At 45.8% G+C, this 20,726-nt stretch overlaps 3 annotated features.

Moving 5' to 3' along the window:
- Positions 7,266-7,771: an enhancer, noted in NCBI's record as "OCT4-NANOG-H3K27ac hESC enhancer chr4:57710833-57711338 (GRCh37/hg19 assembly coordinates)". NCBI's record gives its function as "activates a minimal SCP1, AML or CMV promoter by ChIP-STARR-seq in naive H9 embryonic stem cells {active_cell/tissue: H9 hESC(naive)}" and the evidence as "EXISTENCE:reporter gene assay evidence [ECO:0000049][PMID:30033119]".
- Positions 7,772-8,277: an enhancer, noted in NCBI's record as "OCT4-NANOG-H3K27ac hESC enhancer chr4:57711339-57711844 (GRCh37/hg19 assembly coordinates)". NCBI's record gives its function as "activates a minimal SCP1, AML or CMV promoter by ChIP-STARR-seq in naive H9 embryonic stem cells {active_cell/tissue: H9 hESC(naive)}" and the evidence as "EXISTENCE:reporter gene assay evidence [ECO:0000049][PMID:30033119]".
- Positions 11,332-11,831: an enhancer, noted in NCBI's record as "H3K4me1 hESC enhancer chr4:57714899-57715398 (GRCh37/hg19 assembly coordinates)". NCBI's record gives its function as "activates a minimal SCP1, AML or CMV promoter by ChIP-STARR-seq in naive H9 embryonic stem cells {active_cell/tissue: H9 hESC(naive)}" and the evidence as "EXISTENCE:reporter gene assay evidence [ECO:0000049][PMID:30033119]".

Here is a 20,726-nt window from a genome sequence, read left to right on the forward strand (position 1 = left end):
AAAATATAAAAATTAGCCAGGTGTGGTGGCGCAAACCTGTGGAGGCGCAAGCCTCAGCTACTCTGGAGGCTGAGGTGGGAGAATGGCTTGAACCTGGGAAGGTGGAGGTTGCAGTGAGTCAAAATTGTGCCACTGCACTCCAGCCTGGGCGAAAGAGCGAGACTCCATCTCAAAATAATTAAATAAATAAGGCCGGGCATGGTGGCTCACTCCTGTAATCCCAGCTCTTTGGGAGGCTGAGGCGGGCAGATCACTTGATGTCAGGAGTTCAAGACCAGCCTGGCCAACATGGCAAAACCCCATCTCTATTAAAAATACAAAAATTGGGCCAGGCGCAGTGGCTCACACTTGTAATCCCAGCACTTTGGGAGGCTGAGGCAGGTGGATCACTTGAGGTCGGGAGTTCAAGACTAGCCTGACCAACATGGAGAAAACCCCATCCCTACTAAAAATACAAAAATTAGCCGGGCATGGTGGTGCATGCCTGTAATCCCAGCTACTTGGGAGGCTGAGGCAGGAGAATCGCTTGAACCCAGGAGATGGAGGTTGCGGTGACCCAAGATCGTGCCATTGCACTCCAGCCTGGGCAATAAGAGCGAGACTCCATCTCAAAAAAAAAAAAAAAAAAAGAAATTAACTGAGCATCATGTCAGGTGCTTGTAATCCCAGCTACTCAGGAGGCTGAGGCAGGAGAATTGCTTGGACCTGGGAGGCGGAGGTTGCAGTGGGCTGAGAACACGACACTGCGTTCCAGCCTGGGTGACAGAGCAGGACTCTGTCTCAAAAAAAAAAAAACCTTCGTATTAGGCCAGGCGTGGTGACTTATACTTGTAATCCCAGCATTTTACGAGGCCAAGGCAGGAGGATGCTTGAGGCCAGGAGTTTGAGACCAGCGTGGGCAATATAGCATGACCCTGTTTCTACAAAAAAAAAATTTTTTTTTTTAATTAGCTGGGTGGAGTGTCTGTAGTCTAGCTACTCAGGAGGTTGAGGCAGGAGGATCACTTGAACCCAGGAAGAACATTAGCCTGGGCAACGTAGCAAGACCCTATCTTACAAAAAAACTTTTTTTGACTGAGTGGGGTGGCTCACCCCTGTAATCTCAGCACTTTGGGAGGCCCAGGCAAGCAGATCACTTGAGGTCAGGAGTTCAAGACCAGCCTGGCCAACATGGTGAAACCCCATCTCTAGTAAAAATACAAAAAGTTAGCTGGGCGTGGTGACACATGCCTGTGATCCCAGCTACTCAGGAAGCTAAAGCAGAGAATTGCTGGAACCTGGGAGGCAGAGGCTGCAGTGAGCCGAGATCATGCCACTGCACTCCAGCCTGGGAGACAGAGCAAGACTCCATCTCAAAAAAAAAAAAAAAAAAAATTAACGCTTCATATTATCAAGCACTTATTATAAGCACTGTACATGAATGATCTAATTTATTCTCCATTACAATCTAATATGGTAAGTATTATCTGGTTTATTATTCCCACTTACAGATAAGAAGCCAAGACTTAGAGAATTTTAAGAAGAATGTTGAAAGTCCAGCAGCTAGTAAAGTGGGAGCATCAGGGTCAAAGTAGGGGATCCTACAAGGCATGTATCGTTAACATAAGTTATAACCAACATCACAAAATGTGTCAGACATTCTCCTAAGCAGTTTGTTTATAGGTATCAGCTAATTTAATCTTCACAAAACCTGAACCAGGCAAGGTGGCTCATGCCTATAATCCGAGCACTTTGGAAAGCAGAGGTGGGCGGATCACTTGAGGTCAGAAGTTCAAGACCAGCCTGGCCAATGTGGCAAAACCTCATCTCTGGCTGGGTGCGGTGGCTCACGCCTGTAATCCCAGCACTTTGGGAGGCCAAGGCGGGCGGATCACGACGTCAGGAGATCGAGACCATCCTGGCTAACATGGTGAAACCCCGTCTCTACTAAAAATACAAAAAAATTAGCTGGGTGTGGTGGCAGGCACCTGTAGTCCCAGCTACTCGGGAGGCTGAGGCAGGAGAACGGCGTCAACTCGGGAGGTGGAGCTTGCAGTGAGCTGAGATCGTGCCACTGCACTCCAGCCTGGGTGACAGAGCGAGACTGTCTCAAAAAAAAAAAAAAAACCTCATCTCTACTAAAAAGACAAGAAATTAGCTGGGCGTGGTAGCACCTGTCTGTGGTCCCAGCTACTCTGGAGGCTGAGGATCACCCGAACCCGGGAATTTGAGGCTGCAGCGAGCCATGATCGCGCCACTGCATCCAGGCTGGGTGACGGGAATGAGACCGTCTCAAAAAACAAAACCAAAACCAAAAAGGTATGAAGTATGTATAATTATTATTCCCATTTTATAGATCAAGAAACCAAGAGGAGTTAAGCAAGATATTCAAGGTCACCAACTAGTGAAAAGCATAGCCAGAACTGGAATCCAGGAAGTTTAATTCTAGGGCATATGTTCTCAACCAGTAAGCAATTTTTTAAAAAGTTATTATAACTTGGGCCAGGCGCGGTGGCTCATGCCTGTAATCCCAGTGTTTTGGGAGGCCAAGGTGGAAGGACTTTAAGACCAGCCTGGGCAACATAGTGAGACCCCCATCTCTATAAAAAATATGTATTTTTAAATAGCTGGACATGGTAGCACATGCCTGTAGTCCTAGCACTTTGGGAGGCTGAAGCAGGCAGATCACTTGAGCTTGGGAGTTCAAGACCAGCCTGAGCAACATGGCAAAACCATGTCTCTAAAAAAAACAAACAAACAAACAAAAAAAAACCCAGGCGTGGTGGCTCACGCCTGTAATCCCAGCACTTTGGGAGGCCTAGGCGGGTGGATCACTTGAAGTCAGGAGTTTGAGACCATCCTGGCCAACATGGTGAAACCCCGTCTCTACTAAAACTACAAAAATTAGCTGGGCATGGTGGTGAGCACTTGTAATCCCAGCTGCTCAGGGGGCTGAGGCAGAAGAATCAATTGAACCCAGGAGGCGGAGGTTGCAGTGAGCCAAGATTGCACCACTGAACTCTAGCCTGGATAACAGAGCTGGACTCTGTCGCAAAAAAAAAAAAAAAAAAAAAAAGCAAAAATGCAGATTCTGATGCAGAAAGCCTGAGGTAGGGCCTAAGATTCTGCATTTCTATAAGGCTCTCAGTGAGGACAGTGCTGCTGGCCAAGGTGGATCACACTTTGAGGAGCAAAGTTCTGGCAAGGGGAGGGAGGGGAGAGGAGCAACATTAGAACTGTTAAAAGAAAAATTCTAGACAAATTAAATTTAACAGAGGGTAATTGAACAAAGAATGATTCCTTAAAAATATATATATATTTTTAGAGACTGGTCTCTGTTGCGCAGGCTGGAGTGCAGTGGCTCAATCATAGCTCACCACAGCCTCAAACTTCTGGGCTCAAGGGACCCTCCTGAGTAGCTAGAACCACATGACACATGCCATGATGCCTAGCTTTTATTCATTTATTTCTTTTCTTTTCTTTCTTTCTTTTTTTTTTGGAAACATAGTTTTGCTCTTGTTGCCCAGGCTGGAGTGCAATGGCCTAATCTTGGCTCACTGCAACCTCTGCCTCCCGGGTTCAGACGATTCTCCTGCCTCAGCCTCCTGAGTAACTGGGATTACAGGCATGCGCCACCACACCTGGCTAATTTTGTACTTTTAGTAGAGATAGGGTTTCCCCATGTTGGTCAGGCTGATCTCGAACTCCCGACCTCAGATGATCCACCCCCCTTGGCCTCCCAAAGTGCTGGGATTACAGGCGTGAGCCACCGCACCGGCTATTTATTTATTTTCATAGAGACAGGCTGTTGCTGTGTTGCCCAGGCTGATCTCGAACTCCTGGCCTCAAGCCATCCTCCTGCCTAAGCCTCCCAAAGTGCTGAGATTACCGATGTGAGTCACCATGCCCAGCCTAAAGAACAGTTCCTGAATCGGGTGGCTCTGGGAACAAGCAGAGCTTCAAGAGCTCCACTCTGTAACAGCTTGATTGGTTACAGCTCAGTATTGAGACATGGTCTGATCAGTTGGTAGCCTGTGACTGACTGAAGCTCAGCTGCTGTGCTTGGCTGACACTCAGCTATTTGTTATTAAACAAAACTTCTATATTAGGCTCTCAGTTTACCTGCTGAAGTTAGGTTGCAGTTCTTTCAGTAGGAACTCAAGGTATGGAGGCAGCCTCTGGCCAAACTTAGTTTAATTTACTAGGACCCTTAGTAACGCCTATGTTATTGGGGTAGGAGGGGAATAAAAGGAGGCTCTGAAGGAGCCTGAGGGTGACAGGGGACTTGGCCTGAAAATGTCCTTGGAGAACCAGGACAGCGTGTTGTCAGAAAAGATACTATAGAAGCATTTCTTTCTTTCTGTCTTTTTTTTTTTTTTTTTTTTTTGAGCTGGAGTCTCACTTTGTCGCCCAGGCTGTAGTGCAGTGGTGCGATCTTGGCCCACTGCAGCCTCCACCTCCCAGGTTGAAGTGATTCTCCTGCCTCCGCCTCTGAGTAGCTGGGATTACAGGCGTGTGCCACCAAGTCCAGCTAAATTTTGTATTTTTAGTAGAGACAGGGTTTCGCCATTTTGGCCAGGCCGATCTCGAATTCCTGACCTCAAGTGAATCGTCCCGCTCGGCCTCCCAAAGTGCTGGGATTACAGACGTGAGCCAACGCACCCGGCCTATAGAAGCATTTCAAGGCAAAATAGTCAAAAGCAATACAAGCTAAGTGATGGTAAGGGGCCCTGCTGGTTTCTCAATTAAGAGGCAACTACAAAAAAAAAAAAAAGAAAGAAAAGAAAAGGCTACTGATCAATGTAGTAAATGTGGTTTCTGTGAATAATAGAAGCTGAAAGATTTTGTGATGTTGGGGTGTAGGGAGTGAATAGGGGAAGTAGAGCTAATCTCTTTTTCTAGAAAGAGAAAGAACAGTAGCTAAGGTGGATGGCAGGGGCAAATGAGAGAAAGACAGTGGGGCAGGGATGGCTTATGGGGAAGCTTGTTTGGTTTGGTTTTGCAGGTGTGACACCAGAAGCTATGGAGTTATGCAGAAAGGGAAAGGCATGAGGGAGAAATTGACCCAGAGAATGTGGGTGGCTTCTCCTCTCCTAAATAGACCATCATGTTTACTGAATGTCTGCAGTGTGGCAGCTCCAGGAATAAATAGGACACATCCTTGAGCTTCAAAGTCTTGATACTGAGGGAGCTTTGTGCCTTTTCTGTGAAACTTTGAGAGACGGCAGTAAAATGGGCGTGGGGTTCACGATGAACAATCTTTTCTACATGAGGCCCAATTCAAGAAAGATACACATGTTTCTGGTAACCAGTTTTCCTCACAATTGAGTTGAAACATTCTTTATTTCTCCATCACTGGAGAGTTCAATTTTTAACCTAAAATTCCAAAACAGCACCATACTGTTAGAATAGGTAGTTAGGCAGATGTAGGCAGGACAGGAGAGGAGTCCCCCCACCTAGGAATGTCAGGCCATGGTCAGACGACTGTCAGGTGATGGTCAGGCAGCTGTTAAACTGTGTCTCTAAAATAATAATTGGGCCAGGAGCTGTGGCTCAAGCCTATAATCCCAGCAATTTGGTAGGCCGAGGTGGGCAGATCACCTGAGGTCAGCAGTTCAAGACCAGCCTGGCCAACATGGTGAAACCCCATCTCTACAAAAATACAAAAATTAGCTAGGCATGATGGCGGGCACCTGTAATCCCAGCTACTCAGGAGGCTGAGGCAGGAGAATCATTTGAACCCTGTAGACGAAGGTTGCAGTGAGCCCAGATTGTACCATTGCACTCCAGCCTGGGCGACAGAGCAAGACTCCATCTAAAAAATAATAAAATAAAATAAAATAAAAATTGGTTACAGCAGGCACCAGGGAAAGGCAGTCTCCCAACAGATAGAAAACACCTGACGCTGGTCATCCACAGCTTCCCGATAAGATCTCAGGAGTTGGGGGAGTGGGCTCAAGCGTGTGCACTAAGAGGCAAAATGGCAGAGTTTAACTGGTATATGACCTTCCTCCAGGAACACTCAACTGGTAAGGGAAGAATGCCTCAAATGAGCATGCGCATAACTTCAGTAACCACACTGCGCACGCGGCCCCTCCCAAGTATCCGCAGGCCACTGCGCGAGGACAGCCCACACCGAAGGAGGAATCAGGGTAGAAGAAATGCACACCCCAGAACCATGCCAATGTATAAACCTCAAGCCAAGGTCAGTTGGAGCACTTGGATCTCTCAAGTTGCTTGGTTGGCCCTCTTCCAAGTGTAGTTTACTTCCGTTTGTTCTTGCTCTGAAGCTTTTTAATAAACTTTAACTCCTGCTCTAAAGCTTGCCTCAGTCTGTCACTCTGCCTTATGCCCCTTGGCTGAACTATTTCCTCCGAGGAGGCAAGAATGGAGTTCTTCTGACCCCTGGGAATCGCCGCTGCTGACATTATCAGTAGCACCCCCTGCAGTACGAAGCAACAACACTGGGTCTCTAGAGCAATGTTGAGTGAGACAGGCCACATGGGGTTATTGAAGGGGATAAAACATGGGGTTAGGTTAGAGATTTGGTGCTGAAGGACTGGGCAAGGTGGCCCATGCCTGTAATCCCAGCATTTTGGGAAGCCAAGGCAGAAGGATCACTTGAATCCAGGAGTTTGAGACCAGCCTGGGCAACATAGCAAAACATCATCTTTACAAAAAAATTAAAAAAAAAAAAAAAAAAATTGGCCGAGCGCAGCCCACGCCTGTAATCTCAGCACTTCAGGAGGCCAAGGCAGGTGGATCATCTGAGGTCAGGAGTTTGAGACCAGCCTGGCCAATATGGTGAAACCCTGTCTCTACTAAAAATACAAAAATTAGTTGGGCATAATGGCGGATGCCTGTAATCCCAGCTACTCGGGAGGCTTTGGCAGGAGAAATGCTTGAACCCGGGAAGCGGAGTTTGCAGTAAGCCAAGACGGTGCCATTGCACTCCAGCCTGGGCGACAAGAGCAAAACTCCATCTCAAAAAAGAAAAAGAAAAAGAAATTAGCCAGGCATGCTACATTACTATGTACATGCTACAGGCATTAGTGCATGCCTGTAGTCCCAGGTACTCAGGAGGCAGAGGTGGGAGGATCATTTGATTCTGGGAAGTTGAGGCTACAGTGAGCCACGATTGTGTCACTGCACTCCAACCTGCGTGACAGAGCGAAACCCTGTCTAAAAAAAAAAAAAAAAAGAGATTTGGCATTGCGATGCAGTCACAGACCAGGGACAACGGCAAAAATTCCAGCCCTTTGGAAAAATTCGACATCTGATGTCAACTGGAGGCAGAGGCTGCTATCTTAGTGGTAGCGAGTGGGTTACAGAGTAAAGTGTAGTGTGCAGGGCCTAAATAAGAGGGTGAGGGCCATGGTGCAAAAGCCTTCCAGAAACCTCCATCCGCCCCTAGCTTCTCTCAGCCTAAACAAGGATAAAAGAGAATTCAAGTATTCAGACCCCACCCAGCCCATCCTTCTGAATAGACTCTGCAGTCCATTAAGTTGCTCTGCAGATTTCCAGAGGAGTTGAAGTTCGATCCTCCCCCAATTCTGCAACCCAAATCAGCCCCCTAGGGGTTTATGTAACTATTGTTTCTGGTTTTCATTCATATGCAAATGTTCAAAACCTGACCATCACAGAACTGCCCCCAGGGAGCAAACAAGCTTTAGATGCATCATAAAGGTGCTCATTTTCCTTCCAGCTTGAAAGTGCCTACAGGTTTCCAGAATCAGACAATTGGAGATTCAGGGATGCCTCTAGCAACTTGGCTTTAGAGGAGCTCAATGCCTCTAGCCCTGGGCCAATGCCTCCTCTGCTGTGCTCTCTGGGGCCTTCTCTGTCCTCTGCCCCTCTCCATCCCCTCGGCATTCAGAGCCCTCTTAAAGCAGTTGGGCCCAAATAAAGGAAGAACAATTGCAGTTCTTTCCTTCAAGGATAAGTGCTTATATAGGCAGTGATGTATGATGCATGGTTCAGGATTGGCTCTACAGATAGTGAGTTTCAGGCTGCAATAAGCCATGATTGCGCCACTGCACACCAGCCGGAGCCACAGAAGGAGACCCTGTCTCTAAACAAACAAAACAAAACAATTTGAGGTTTTCCCAGGTGGGCAGAGGCCAGGAATTTTGTCCAGGCTTTTGTCTGTCTATTTTGCCTGCCTGGGATGCCCTCCCTCATTTATCTTCCAGAAAGCCTTTCTAGGACCCCTGAGTCTGGGTTAGTTTTCCATGGTACTTGGAGAACACCCCAAAGATATCACCTACTGTATAGTAATGTAGTTCCTTGGGCATAGAACTGTTCCATTTTATTCATCTTGGAATTCGAGTGCCTTTCAAAAGTTCCAGGCACTCAGTAGGCCCTCATAAATGTTTTCTTTTTTTTGAGATGGAGTCTCGCTCTGTCACCACGCTGGAGTGCAGTGGCGCGATCTCAGCTCACTGCAACCTCCGACTCCCTCTGAAGCGATTCTCCTGCCTCAGCCTCCCGAGTAGCTGGGATTACAGGTGCCCGCCACCATGCCCGGCTAATTTTTCTATTTTTAGTAGAGACAGGGTTTCACCATGTTGGCCAGGATGGTCTCCATCTCCTGACATTGTGATCCGCCCACCTCGGCCTCCTGAAGTGCTGGGATTACAGGAGTGAGCCACCGCGCCCTGCCCTCTCTCTCTTTTTAATAGAGATGCGATCTCACTATGTTACCCAGGCTGGTCTCAAACTTCTGGGTTCATCGGATCCTCCCATCTTGGCCTCCCAAACTGCTGGGATTACAGGCCTGAGCCACTAGGCCTGGCCTCATTAATGTTTCCTGAATGAATGAGTGTAATGAGGGTGAGCTGAATCCAGAGGGTCAGCTGGCCTGGAGGGTAGGGGCAGGCAGGACAAGACTGCAGTGGAGGCCAGGACCAAAGCATGGAGGAGCTTATGAGCCATGCTAAGGAATTTGGCCTTGGGAAGGTAGGCCATTCAGGAAAATTAATCTGTTTTTTTTGTTTGTGTTTGTGTTTTTTTGAGATGGAGTCTCACTCTGTCGCCCAGGCTGGAGTGCAGTGGCGCGATCTCGGCTCACTGCAAGCTCTGCCTCCCGGGTTCACGCCATTCTCCTGCCTCAGCCTCCCTAGTAGCTGGGACTACAGGCGCCTGCCACCACGCCCAGCTAATTTTTTGTATTTTTAGTAGAGACGAGGTTTCACCATGTTAGCCAGGATGGCCTCAATCTCCTGACCTCGTGATCCGCCCGCCTCGGCCTCCCAAAGTGCTGGGATTACAGGCATGAGCCACCGCGCCTGGCCAAAAATTGCTCTGTTATATGATGAATGCATTGGTTGAGGTGAGGGGACTGCTAGAGTGAAGGTGTCTCACACAGGGTTTGACACACGCAAGAAATGGATGACTATTTCCTTATGAAGAGGCAGCTAGAAGGCTACTGAAGTTAGGCTGGGTGCGGTGGCTCACATCTGTGATCCCAGCACTTTGGGAGGCCAAGGTGGGCGGATCATCTGAGGTAAGGAGTTCGAGACCAGCCTGGCCAACACAGTGAAACCCCGTCTCTACTAAAAATACAAAAATTAGCCAGGTGTGGTGGTGCCTGTCTATAGTCCCAGCTTCTTGGGAGGCTGAGGCAGGAGAATCACTTGAACCTGGGAGGCAGAAGCTTGCAGAGGCTGCAGTGAGCTGAGATCACGCCACTGCACTCCAGCCTGGTGACAGAGCAAGACTCCGTCTCAAAAAAAAAGGCTACTGAAGTTATCCAGGTGAGAGTTGACTGGGCTGAAGCTAAACAGATGACTGCCTTTGAGGCAAGAAATATTATTTCACTGTTTCTGCGGGTCAGGATTCTGGACATGGTTTTGCTGGGTCCTTTGGCTCAAGGTCTCTCACAAGGAAGAAATTATGGTGTCAGCCAGGGACATAGTCATCTCAAGGCTCTACTAGGGGAAAGTCCACTTCCAAGCTTAGTCAGTAGTTGTTGGCAGGTCTCAGGGTCTCCCTGGCTGTTAGCCCAAGTCACCAATTCCTTGCCATGTGGCACCTCCACAGGGCTTCTGACAACATGTCAGCTGGCTTCCCCCAGAATGAAGGCAGAGAGAATGAGAGAATACAAGATGAAAATCACATATTCTTTTTGCATGCTAATCTTGGAAGTGCCATCCCATTACTCATGCCCTATTCTATTTGTTAGAAGCAAGTCACCTTGTTCAGCTGACACTTAAAGGAAGGGGAGGGAGTACACAAGGGCATGAATACCAGGAGGGTGAAATGTTGGGAGCTATCTTAGAGGCTCCTATGGCAACTCTCAAAAAGGAAGGGAAGGAGAAGCTGGGGAGAAAGAGAGAGAAATGTAAATACCGGCCAGGTGCAGTGGCTCACGCCTGTAATCCCAGCACTTTGGGAGGCTAAGGTAGGTGGATCACTTGAGGTCAGGAGTTTGAGACCAGCCTGGCCAATCTGGTGAAACCCTGTCTCTACTAAAAATAGAAAAAAAAAAATTAGCCAGGCCTGGTGGCAGGTGCCTGTAATCCCAGCTTTTTGGGAGTCTGAGGCAAGAGAATCTCTTGAACCTGGGAGGCAGAGGTTGCAGTGGGCCGAGATCACGCCATTGCACTCCAGCCTGGGTGACAGAGTGAGACTCCATCTCAAAAATAAAAATAAAAAAAAGAAAAGAAATGTAAATGCCTTCTCAATGCCATATTTAGGAAGAGCTTAGAGAAGGGCAGAAAGAAGGAATTAAGTAGGAGGCAAGGGCAGCCTGAAGGACTGGTGAAATGGCTTGATCTTCCATGTTTTTTCTTTTATTTTTCCATATGTTAGGCAGATATTTTTTCCACATGGAAAAAATTATTATAACTAAAGACTAAGAGAAATAATACAGTGAAAGTTCAGGAATCTACCATGCAGTAAAAAATTTAATAAATTCTCAATATGAAAAACATGCAAATAAGGCTGGGTGCGGTGGCTTATCCTTTTAATACCAGCACTTTGGGAGGCCAAGGCTCAAGGATCACTTGAGGTCAGGAGATCAAGAACAGCCTGGACAACATGGCAAAACCCCACCTCTACTAAAAATACAGAATTAGTGGGACATGGTGGTGCATGCCTGTAATCCCAGCTGCTTGGGAGGCTGAGGCAGGAGAATCACTTGAAACCAGGAGGCGGAGATTGGCGGTGAGCCGAGATCATGTCACTGCACTCCAGCCTGGCAACAGAGTGAGACTCCATCTCAAAAAAAGAAAGGGCCAGGAGCGGTGGTTCATACCTGCAATCCCAGCACTTTGAGAGGCCGAGCTGGGCGGATCACGAGGTCAGGAGATAGAGACCATCCTGACCAACATGGTGAAACCCCGTCTCTACTAAAAATACAAAAATTAGTTGGGTGTGATGGTGCACACCTGTAGTCCCAGCTACTCAGGAGGCTGAGGCAGGAGAATCGCTTGAAGCCAGGAGGCGGAGGTTGCAGTGAGCCAAGATCACACCGCTGCACTCCAGCCTGGTGACAGAGCAAGACCCCGTCTCAAAAAAAAAAAAAAAGAGAAAGAAAGAAAGAGGCCGGGCGTGGTGGCTCACGCCTGTAATCCCAGCACTTTGGGAGACAGAGGCGGGTGGATCAGGAGGTCAGGAGATCAAAACCATCCTGGCTAACATGGTGAAACCCCGACTCTACTAAAAATACAAAAAAAATAGCCGGGTGTGGTGGCAGGCACCTGTAGTCCCAGCTACTCGGGAGGCTGAGGCAGGAGAATGGCATGAACCTGGGAGGTGGAGCTTGCAGTGAGCCGAGATCACGCCACCGCACTCGAGCTTGGGCGACAGAGCGAGACTCCGTCTCAAAAAAAAGAAAGAAAGAAAGAAAGAAAAACATGCAAATATAATTTTAAGATGGATAAAATTGAAGGAGTCCAGCTAACAGTTGCCAGGAGAAACAATATCAGTGGAACAGATGGAAATTATCAATGACGTTATGCAGCAGGTAGCAAAGAAATTATCAATGATATTATGCAGCAGGTAGCAAAGAAAAGTTAACCTCTGGAGGCTGGGTACGGTGGCTCATGCCTGTAATCCCAGCACTTTGGGAGGGCGAGTTGGGTAGAACACTTGAAGCCAGGAAAAAAATTAGCTGGGTATGGTGGCACATGCCTGTAATTGCAGCTACTCAGCAGCCTGTAATTGCAGCTACTCAGGAGGCTGAGGCACGAGAATCACTTGAATCCAGGAGGCAGAGGTTGCAGTGAGATCACACCACTGCACTCCAGCCTGGGCAAGAGACCACGACTCTGTCTCAAAAAAAAAAAAAAAAAGTTAACCTCTGGAAAAAATGAAGCCTATAAGGAAATGATATAAACCATGGGGAAAAAACATTTTTTTTAAATTTCAGTAGTTTTTGAGGTACAGGCAGTTTTTGGTTCCATGGATAAGCTCTTTAGTGATGATTTCTGAGATTTTGGTGCCCTTGTCACCCGAGCAGTGTACCCTGTACCCAATGTGTAGTCTTTTATTCCTCACCACCCCACCCTTCCCTCTGAGTCCCCAAAGTCCATTATATAATTCTTATGCCTTTGTATCTTCATAGTTTAGCTCCCACTTATCAATGAGAATCTATGGTATTTGGTTTTCCATTCCTGAGTTACTTCACTTAGAATAATGACCTCCAGCTCCATCCAACTTGCTTCAAAGGCCATTATTTCATTTTGTTTTATGGCTGAGTAGTATTCCATGGTATTTATATATACCACATTTTCTTTATCCACTCGTTGGTTGATGGGCATTTAGGTTGGTTCCATAGTTTTGCAATTATGAATTGCGCTGCTATAAAGACACTTGTGTGTGCAAGTGTCTTTTTCATGTAATGGCTTCTTTTCTTCTGGGTAGATACCCAGCAGTGGGATTGCTGTCGAATGGTAGTTCTACTTTTAGTTCTTTAAGGAATATCCATACTGTTTTCCATAGTGGTTGTACTAATTTACTTTCCCATCAGCAATGTAAAAGTGTTCCCTGAGAAAAGCTTTTTAGTAGAGAAAAGTTGACTTTCCTGTATCAGTGTTAGGGTTAACAATTAAACAGGCTTAGGCTGGGTGCAGTGGCTCATGCCTGTAATCCCAGCACTTTGGGAGGCCGAGGCAGGCGGATCACCTGAGGTCAGGAGTTCGAGACCAGCCTGGCCAACATGGTGAAACCCTGTCTCTACTAAAAATACAAAAATTAGCCAGGAGTGGTGGCAGGCACCTAGCACCTGTAATCCAAGCTACTCGGGAGGCTCAGGCAGGAGAATTGCTTGAACCCAGGAGGCAGAGGTTGCAGTGAGCTGAGATCATGCCACTGCACTCCAGCATGGGCAACAGAACGAGACTCCATCTCAAACAAAAGAAAACAAACAAACAAACAAAACAAAAAATTAAACAGTCTCTAGACTCCCTAGAGTGTACTGAGGAACTACTTTCCATATACCCTGAGACCTGTGCATTGGTGAATTTCAAACCTTTGACCTGAACAAAAAGTAAGAAATACATTTCACACAGCAACTACTATGCACACACTCACACACACAAAATAAAAGTACAAATTTTATAAAAACAATACTTACCCTGATTATGTACTATGTACTCAAATTTTTATATTCTATGTCTCTTAAAAATATTTTATGTTAAGAACCATTAAATTTTTTGTAACATTTTATGAACTATTAAAAGGTTATGACATGCAGGTTGAAAATGCTGCTCTGGGCCAGGTACCATGGCTAGCACCTGTAATCCCAGCACTTTGGAAAGCCAAGGCAGGTGGATTGCTTGAGCTCAGGAGTTGGAGACCAACCTGGGCGACATGGCTAAACCCTGTCTCTACCAAAAAAGAAAAAAATCAGCTGGGTGTGGTGGCACTCACCTGTGGTCCCAGCTACTCAGGAGGCTAAGATGGGAAAGTCACTTGAGCCTAGGAGGCAGAGGCTGCAGTGAGCAGAGATCACAACACTGCTCTCCAGCCTGGGCAACAGAGACCTCGTTTCAAAAACAAAACAAGGGCCAGGCGCGGTGGCTCACACCTGTAATCCCAGCACTTTAGGAGGCCAAGGCAGGTAGATCACCTGAGATCAGGAGTTCAAGACTAGCCTGGCCAACATGGCGAAACCCCATCTCTGCTAAAAGTACAAAAATTAGACAGGCGTGGTGGTGGGCGCCTGTAATCCCAGTTACTCAGGAGGCTGAGGTGGGAGAATTGCTTGGACTTCGGAGGCAGAGGTTGCAATGAGCCAAGATCATGCCACCGCACTCCAGCCTGGGCGACAAGAGCAAGACTCCATCTCAAAAAACAACAACAACACGGCTGGGCGCAGTGGCTCATGCCTGTAATCCCAACACTTTGGGAGCCCGAGGCGGGCGGATCACGAGGTCAGGAGGTCGAGACCATCCTGGCTAACACGGTGAAACCGCATCTCTACTAAAAAATACAAAAAAATTAGCCGGGCATGGTGGTGGGCACCTGTAGTCCCAGCTACTCTGGAGGCTGAGGCAGGAGAATGACGTGAACCCAGGAGGCGGAGCTTGCAGTGAGCCGAGGTCGCACCACTGTACTCCAGCCTGGGCGACAGAGCGAGACTCCGTCTCAAAAAAATAAATAAATTAAAACAACAACAACACGAAACCAAAACAGAAACGCCCGTAAAACAAGGTTACATATTGACTAGTTGACAAAAATATGACCACAGGCTCAACAGAACCTAACCCTGCATTTCCCCCACAGGCAATGGTTCAATATTTGCTAATTCAGTGTTTATGGCAACTTTATAGAATATAACTACTGCAAGTAACAAGAATTTACAGATTAGTGTTTGTATCTAAAGCTATGACTTTTCTTCTGAGCTAGGCCTTAAATGTGTCTCAGAATTCTAATATGTAGACTGTGCCTACGTAAGCTATGATCTGTCAGCTCCAAACCCAGAATTACTTTCCCAGTACCTTGAATCCTATATGCCAGTGGATTTTTTTTTTTCAGACGGAATCTCGCTCTGTTGCCCAGGCCAACCTCTCTGCTTCAGCCTGCCAAGTAGCTGGGATTACAGGTGCCAGGCGCCTGCCACCACACCCAGCTAATTTTTTTTGTATTTTTAGTAGAGACAAAGTTTTACCATCTTGGCCAGGCTGGTCTTGAACTCCTGACCTTGTGAACCACCTGCCTTGGCCTCCCAAAGTGCTGGGATTACAGGTATGAGCCACCGCGCCCGGCCCATGCCAGTGGTTTTGAAACCTCCATGCTGGACTTTGAGATGGTGAGTCTAGAACTCTACAAACTACATTTATTCTTTGTCAGCCAGCTTCTGTTAGGGTCAGTTAGTAGGGGGCACTAGAGAAACATGTGAAGGAGGATGGGGGAGCAGGACCAGGCTCCTTCCTACTGCATGGTTCCTGTCAGAGTCTGTCATGGCATTGACATCTTATAAAAAACACAAGCCATCATAAGAATGCTTTTCGGCTGGGCACGGTGGCTCATGCCTGTAATCCCAGCACTTTGGAAGGCCGAGGCGGGCAGATCACTTGAGGTCAGGAGTTCAAGACTAGCTTGGTGAACATGGTGAAACCCGTCTCTACTAAAAATAGAAAAAAGTAGCTGGGTGTGGTGATGCGCACCTGTAATCCCAGCCACTTGGGAAGCTGAGGCAGGAGGATATCTTGAACCCAGGAGGCAGAGGTTGCAGTGAGCTGAGATAGTGTCATCCATTGCACTCCAGCCTGGCAATAGAGTGAGACTCCATCTCAAAAAAAAAAAAAAAAAAAAAAAGGACCAGGCACAGTGGCTCATGCCTGTACGCCTGTAATGCCAGCACTTTGGGAGGTTGACATGGGGAATTCAAGACCAGCCTGACCAACATGCCAACATGGCAAGACCCGGTCTCTACTAAAAATACAAAATTAGCTGAGCGTGGTGGTGCGTGCCTGTAATCCCAGCTACTCAGGAGGCTGAGGCAGGAGAATCGCTTGAACCTAGGAGGCAGAGGTTCTGGTGAGCAAAGATCGCGCCATTGCATTCCAGTTTGGGTAACAAGAGCGAAATTCTGTCTTAAAAATAATAATAATAAATAATAAATAACAATAATTATGGAATTGGCCAGGCACAGTGGCTTACGTTTGCAGTCCTACCACTTTAGAAGGCCAAGGCAGGAGGATCACTTGAGCCCAGGAGTTCGAGACCAGCTTGGGCAACATAGTGAGACCCCGTCTCTAAAAGAAAAGAAAAGAACAGAACAGAACAGAACAGAACTAAAAGGACTAAAATAATTATGGAGTTGTATCATACACCCTAATAGCTGGACATTTAGGTTCACTGCAGCCTCTGCCTCCCAGGTTCAAGCAATTCTCCTCCCTTAGCCTCCTGAGTACCTGGGATTACAGGCATGCGCCATCATGCCTGGCTAATTTTTGTATTTTTAGTAGAGATGGGGTTTCACCACGTTGGTCAGGCTAGTCTTGAACTCCTAACCTCAAGTGATCCACCCACCTTGGCCTCCCAAAGTGCTAGGATTATAGGCGTGAGCCACCACGCCTCGCCTATTTATTTTTATTTGTATAAAAGTAAGGAGTACAAGTGCAGTTTTGATACGTGGATATATTGCATAGTGGTGAAATCTGGGCTTTTAGTATAACTATCAACCAAATAGTGTGGGTTGATTGACCAACCTGGCCAATATAGTGTACATTGTACCCATTAAGTAATTTCTCAACATTTAGACATTTAATGCTGTCTTTATAATAACTGTGAATAGCAGAAAAATCAAGAGAAAATTCAAAACCAAACAGTAAAATGTACAAAAGATAAGCATTAAGAAATTTCTAGACACTTTCATGGTCTCAAAATATCTTTTGTTTTGTTTTGTTTTGTTTTGTTTTTTGTTTTTGAGACCGAGTCTCACTCTATTGCCCAGGCTGGAGTGCAGTAGTGCAATCTCGACTCACTGCAATCTCTGCCTTCTGGATTCAAGCAATTCTCATGCCTCAGCCTCCCAAGTAGCTGGAATTATAGGTGCCCACCATTATGCCCAGCTAATTTTTGAATTTTTGGTAGAGACGGGGTTTTGCCATGTTGGCCAGGCTGGTCTTGAACTCCTGATCTCAAATGATCTGCCCGCCTTGGCCTCCCAAAGTGCTAGGATTACAGGCTTGAGCCACTGCGCCTGGCCTGGTCTCAAAATATCTTGCCATTGATTGCTTATTAATTGCACACAGAAATAAAAAATAAAAATAAAATAAAACTAATTGTATGGCGCAAAATAGTGGAGAAACTGGACAACATCTTGTCTATGTATCCAAAATTAACATCGCCAGCTGGGTGTGGTGGCTCACATCTGTAATCCCAGCACTTTGGGAGCCAAGAGGCAGGTGGATCACTTGAGGCCAGGAGTTCAAGAACAGCCTGGCCAACATGGCAAAAACAGGCATGGTGGCTCATGCCTGTAATCCTAGCACTTTGGGAGGCCAAGGTAGGAGGAATGCTTGAGGCCAAGAGTTCAAGACCAACTTGGTCAATATAGTGAGACCCCATCTCTAATAATCTTAAAAAAAATTTTAATTAAAAATAAAAAATGAAGACATACATCATATTATTAAAGTAAAGAAACTATCTGTGGCTGGGTGCGGTGGCTCATGCCTGTAATCTCAGCAACTTTGGGAGGCTGAGGTGGGCAAATCCCTTGAGTCCAGGAGTTCAAGACCAGCCTGGGCAACATGGCAAAATGCTGTCTCTATTAAAAAACAAAACAAGACTATTTGTTATGCTTATTTTGTTATGTTTTTAAATTCTCAATCCTTTTAATTTAAAAAAATCTGTTAAATTTTTAATATAGTTGAATGGTATCAAACTCAAAAGCTGCAAAGAACATACAAAGAGTTTCCCTCTCACCCCTATAATCCAGCTACCCAGTTCTCCTCTGGAAATAACTGATGTTACAATTTTCTCTATGTCCTTTTAGAGACAGTTTATACATTATCTTAGTTCATATGGGTGCTATAACAAAATATTATAGCCCATGGACTTATAAACAACAGAAATTTATTTCTCACAGTCCTGGGAGCTTGGAAACCTAAAATCTAGGTTCAGCAGATTAGGTGTTTTCTCATTTGTTTGTTTGGTTTGTTTGAGACAAGGTCTCACTCTGTTGCCCAGGCTGGAGTGCACTGGCAGGATCGTGGTTCACTCCAGCCTCAAACTCCTGGGCTCAAAGTATCCTCCTACCTCAGCCTCCCAAGTAGCTGGGACTACAGGCACATACCACTACAACCAGTTACTTATTTTTTATTTTTTGTTTTTTTTGTAGAGACAAGGTCTCACCATGTTGTCCAGGCTGGTCTTGAACTCCTGGCCTCAATCAATCCTTTTGCCTCGGCCTCCCAAAGTGCTGGGATTACAGGTGTGTGCTACCAGCACCTGGCCCAGATTAGGTGTTTGATGAGAACCCACTTCCTGGTTCATAGCCAGCCATCTTGCTGTGTCCTCACATGGCTGAAAGCAGTAAAAAATCTCTCTGGGGCCACTTTTATAAGGGCATTGATCCCATTATGAGGGCTCCACCCTCATGACTTAATCACCACCCAGAAGCCCTACCTCCAAATACCATTACATTGGGGATTAGGTTTCAATATATGAATTTGGAGAAGGGGGTTGGGGGAGACACAAACATTCAGACCACAACACGTATATAAAGCAAAAACATATATATTCTCTCCACTCCCCTTTCTCTACTGTTACTTTTGTGTATATTTTCCACACTGTTCTGCATTTGCCTTTTTTCACTTAACAATTTAACAATACAACCTGGAGATCATTAAATATCAGTACATTAAGTGTCAGCTTTTTTTTTTTTTTTTTTTTTTTCCAGATGGAGTCTTGCTCTGTCACCGAGGCTGGAGTGCAATGGCGCAATCTCAGCTCACTGCAACCTCCGCCTCCTGAGTTCAAACGATTCTCCTGCCTCAGCCTCCTGAGTAGTTGGGATTACACCACCATGCCCGGCTAATTTTTGAATTTTTAGTAGAGAGGGCATTTCGCCATGTTGGTCAGGCTGGTCTCGAACTCCTGACCTCAGGTGATCCACCCACCTTGGCCTCCCAAAGTGCTGGGATTACAGGCATGAGCCACCGTGCCCAGTCAATATAAAATTCTTAGAGTTCAAAAAACTTACCTTATAGATGACATTGAAATTTCAGTTTAATTCTTGTACAAGTATTGTAAATATTGTTGTTTCTAACACTCCAAAGTCTTGCTATTTGGCTTAATTTTTTATTTAAATAATGTACATATTTCCAGCTGCACTATAAACTACAGAGAGCAAAACTCAGGAAGGTGGCAAATAGTTCAGCTGTTTTACAGACCTGAGCCCTGGCAGAAGAGAAGAGGAAAAGGGGCTCTCCGCTGGACCGCTCCCACAGGCTCTTACTGTCCTTGAGGCATTTTCCTTGCCCAAATAAGAAGGAAAATTATTTTCCAGTCTTAAATCAAGTGCCAAAATTATTCTTGGAATTGCTCCCTTCATCTGTCCGTTTCAGTTTTTTCCCCATGGAGGTGTGGTCAGGGCAGCCAGAACTTCACCGTCAGAATCAGGATTGGAACTTAATTGCTCCCACAGACAGCTGGTTTGGAAAAACTCCTTGCAAGGCAATTTTGATAAGGGATGAGAAAGATCAGAAAGCTGATACGTGTTGGATCTGAAGCTCTAACCATACACCTGACTTGAGTCTTTCTACAGGGCTAGTGGCTAACAGAGATACAAAGGAATTAATCATCTTCGGGGATTTTTAGGAAAGAAAAGACAGAGGAGCTGAGTTCCACAAATTGTTAATGTTAGTCTCTAGCTCATTTCCCAAGTTCTTCATTTTCACTCTCCTGCTTAGTCCAGTCTAGTCAAGAGCGTGGGCTTTGGAGTCAGATGAACCTTAGCCACATCCATGTTTGTCCCTTGTTGGCTGTGGGATCACAAGTAAATTAGCCTCCTAGAGATAGGGTCTCCACCAATAAGACCGGGAGCATGCTCTCCTCCTCTACCTTCCTGTCAGTGTTGAAGTGAGGATTAAAGAAAATCAACTATGGGCACGGTGTCTTGCATGGTCCTGACAAATAAGGCTCAGTAAATGTTAGTTCATTTCATATTATCACCTTTCTACCCCTCTGACCAATGGCCTAAAACTCATTCTTCTGGAGTTTATGGTCTTGACCAGTATTAAGTTAGAAAAGAAGCATTATGGTAAGGCAATCTAAGTGGGACCACTGGCTTCACCTGTACCTAAACTAGAATTTGGAATTTTTCTAAAAATCCATTCCTTTCAATGTGGTAAGATTTTCAAACCCTCTGAAATGTATTTTGCAGTGTCAACAGCCCCTCTGTGAGAAAAATCCATACCTCTGGGGGCAACTCTAACAGGTTTTGTAATCAAGTCAAAACTGCAGCTTATATTGAAACATTTCACAATCTTGTAAAGCAATTTAGATACAAATAGATGTTTTACAAAATCAGGTTCAAGTTTCTCTTTTCTTTCCTCTCCCTAGAGAATATAAAAGGCAGCTCTCAAAAAATAGGAACTGGTTTTATCATAGAGACTTTAGAAATTATCTGAAACAAATGGTTTTGAGATGTTATACAGTACAAATATACAGTAGTGATTTACTTTAATTCAAATTATTTATTTATAGAAACCTAACAGGGACCAATTTAACCATAGTGGCAGACATTGGCTAGCTATTCACCAAATCTGTTTTTCTTCTGGGCACGCAGC

The sequence above is a fragment of the Homo sapiens genome, chromosome 4 (genome assembly GCF_000001405.40).
Source record: "Homo sapiens chromosome 4, GRCh38.p14 Primary Assembly".
Lineage (NCBI taxonomy): Eukaryota > Metazoa > Chordata > Mammalia > Primates > Hominidae > Homo > Homo sapiens.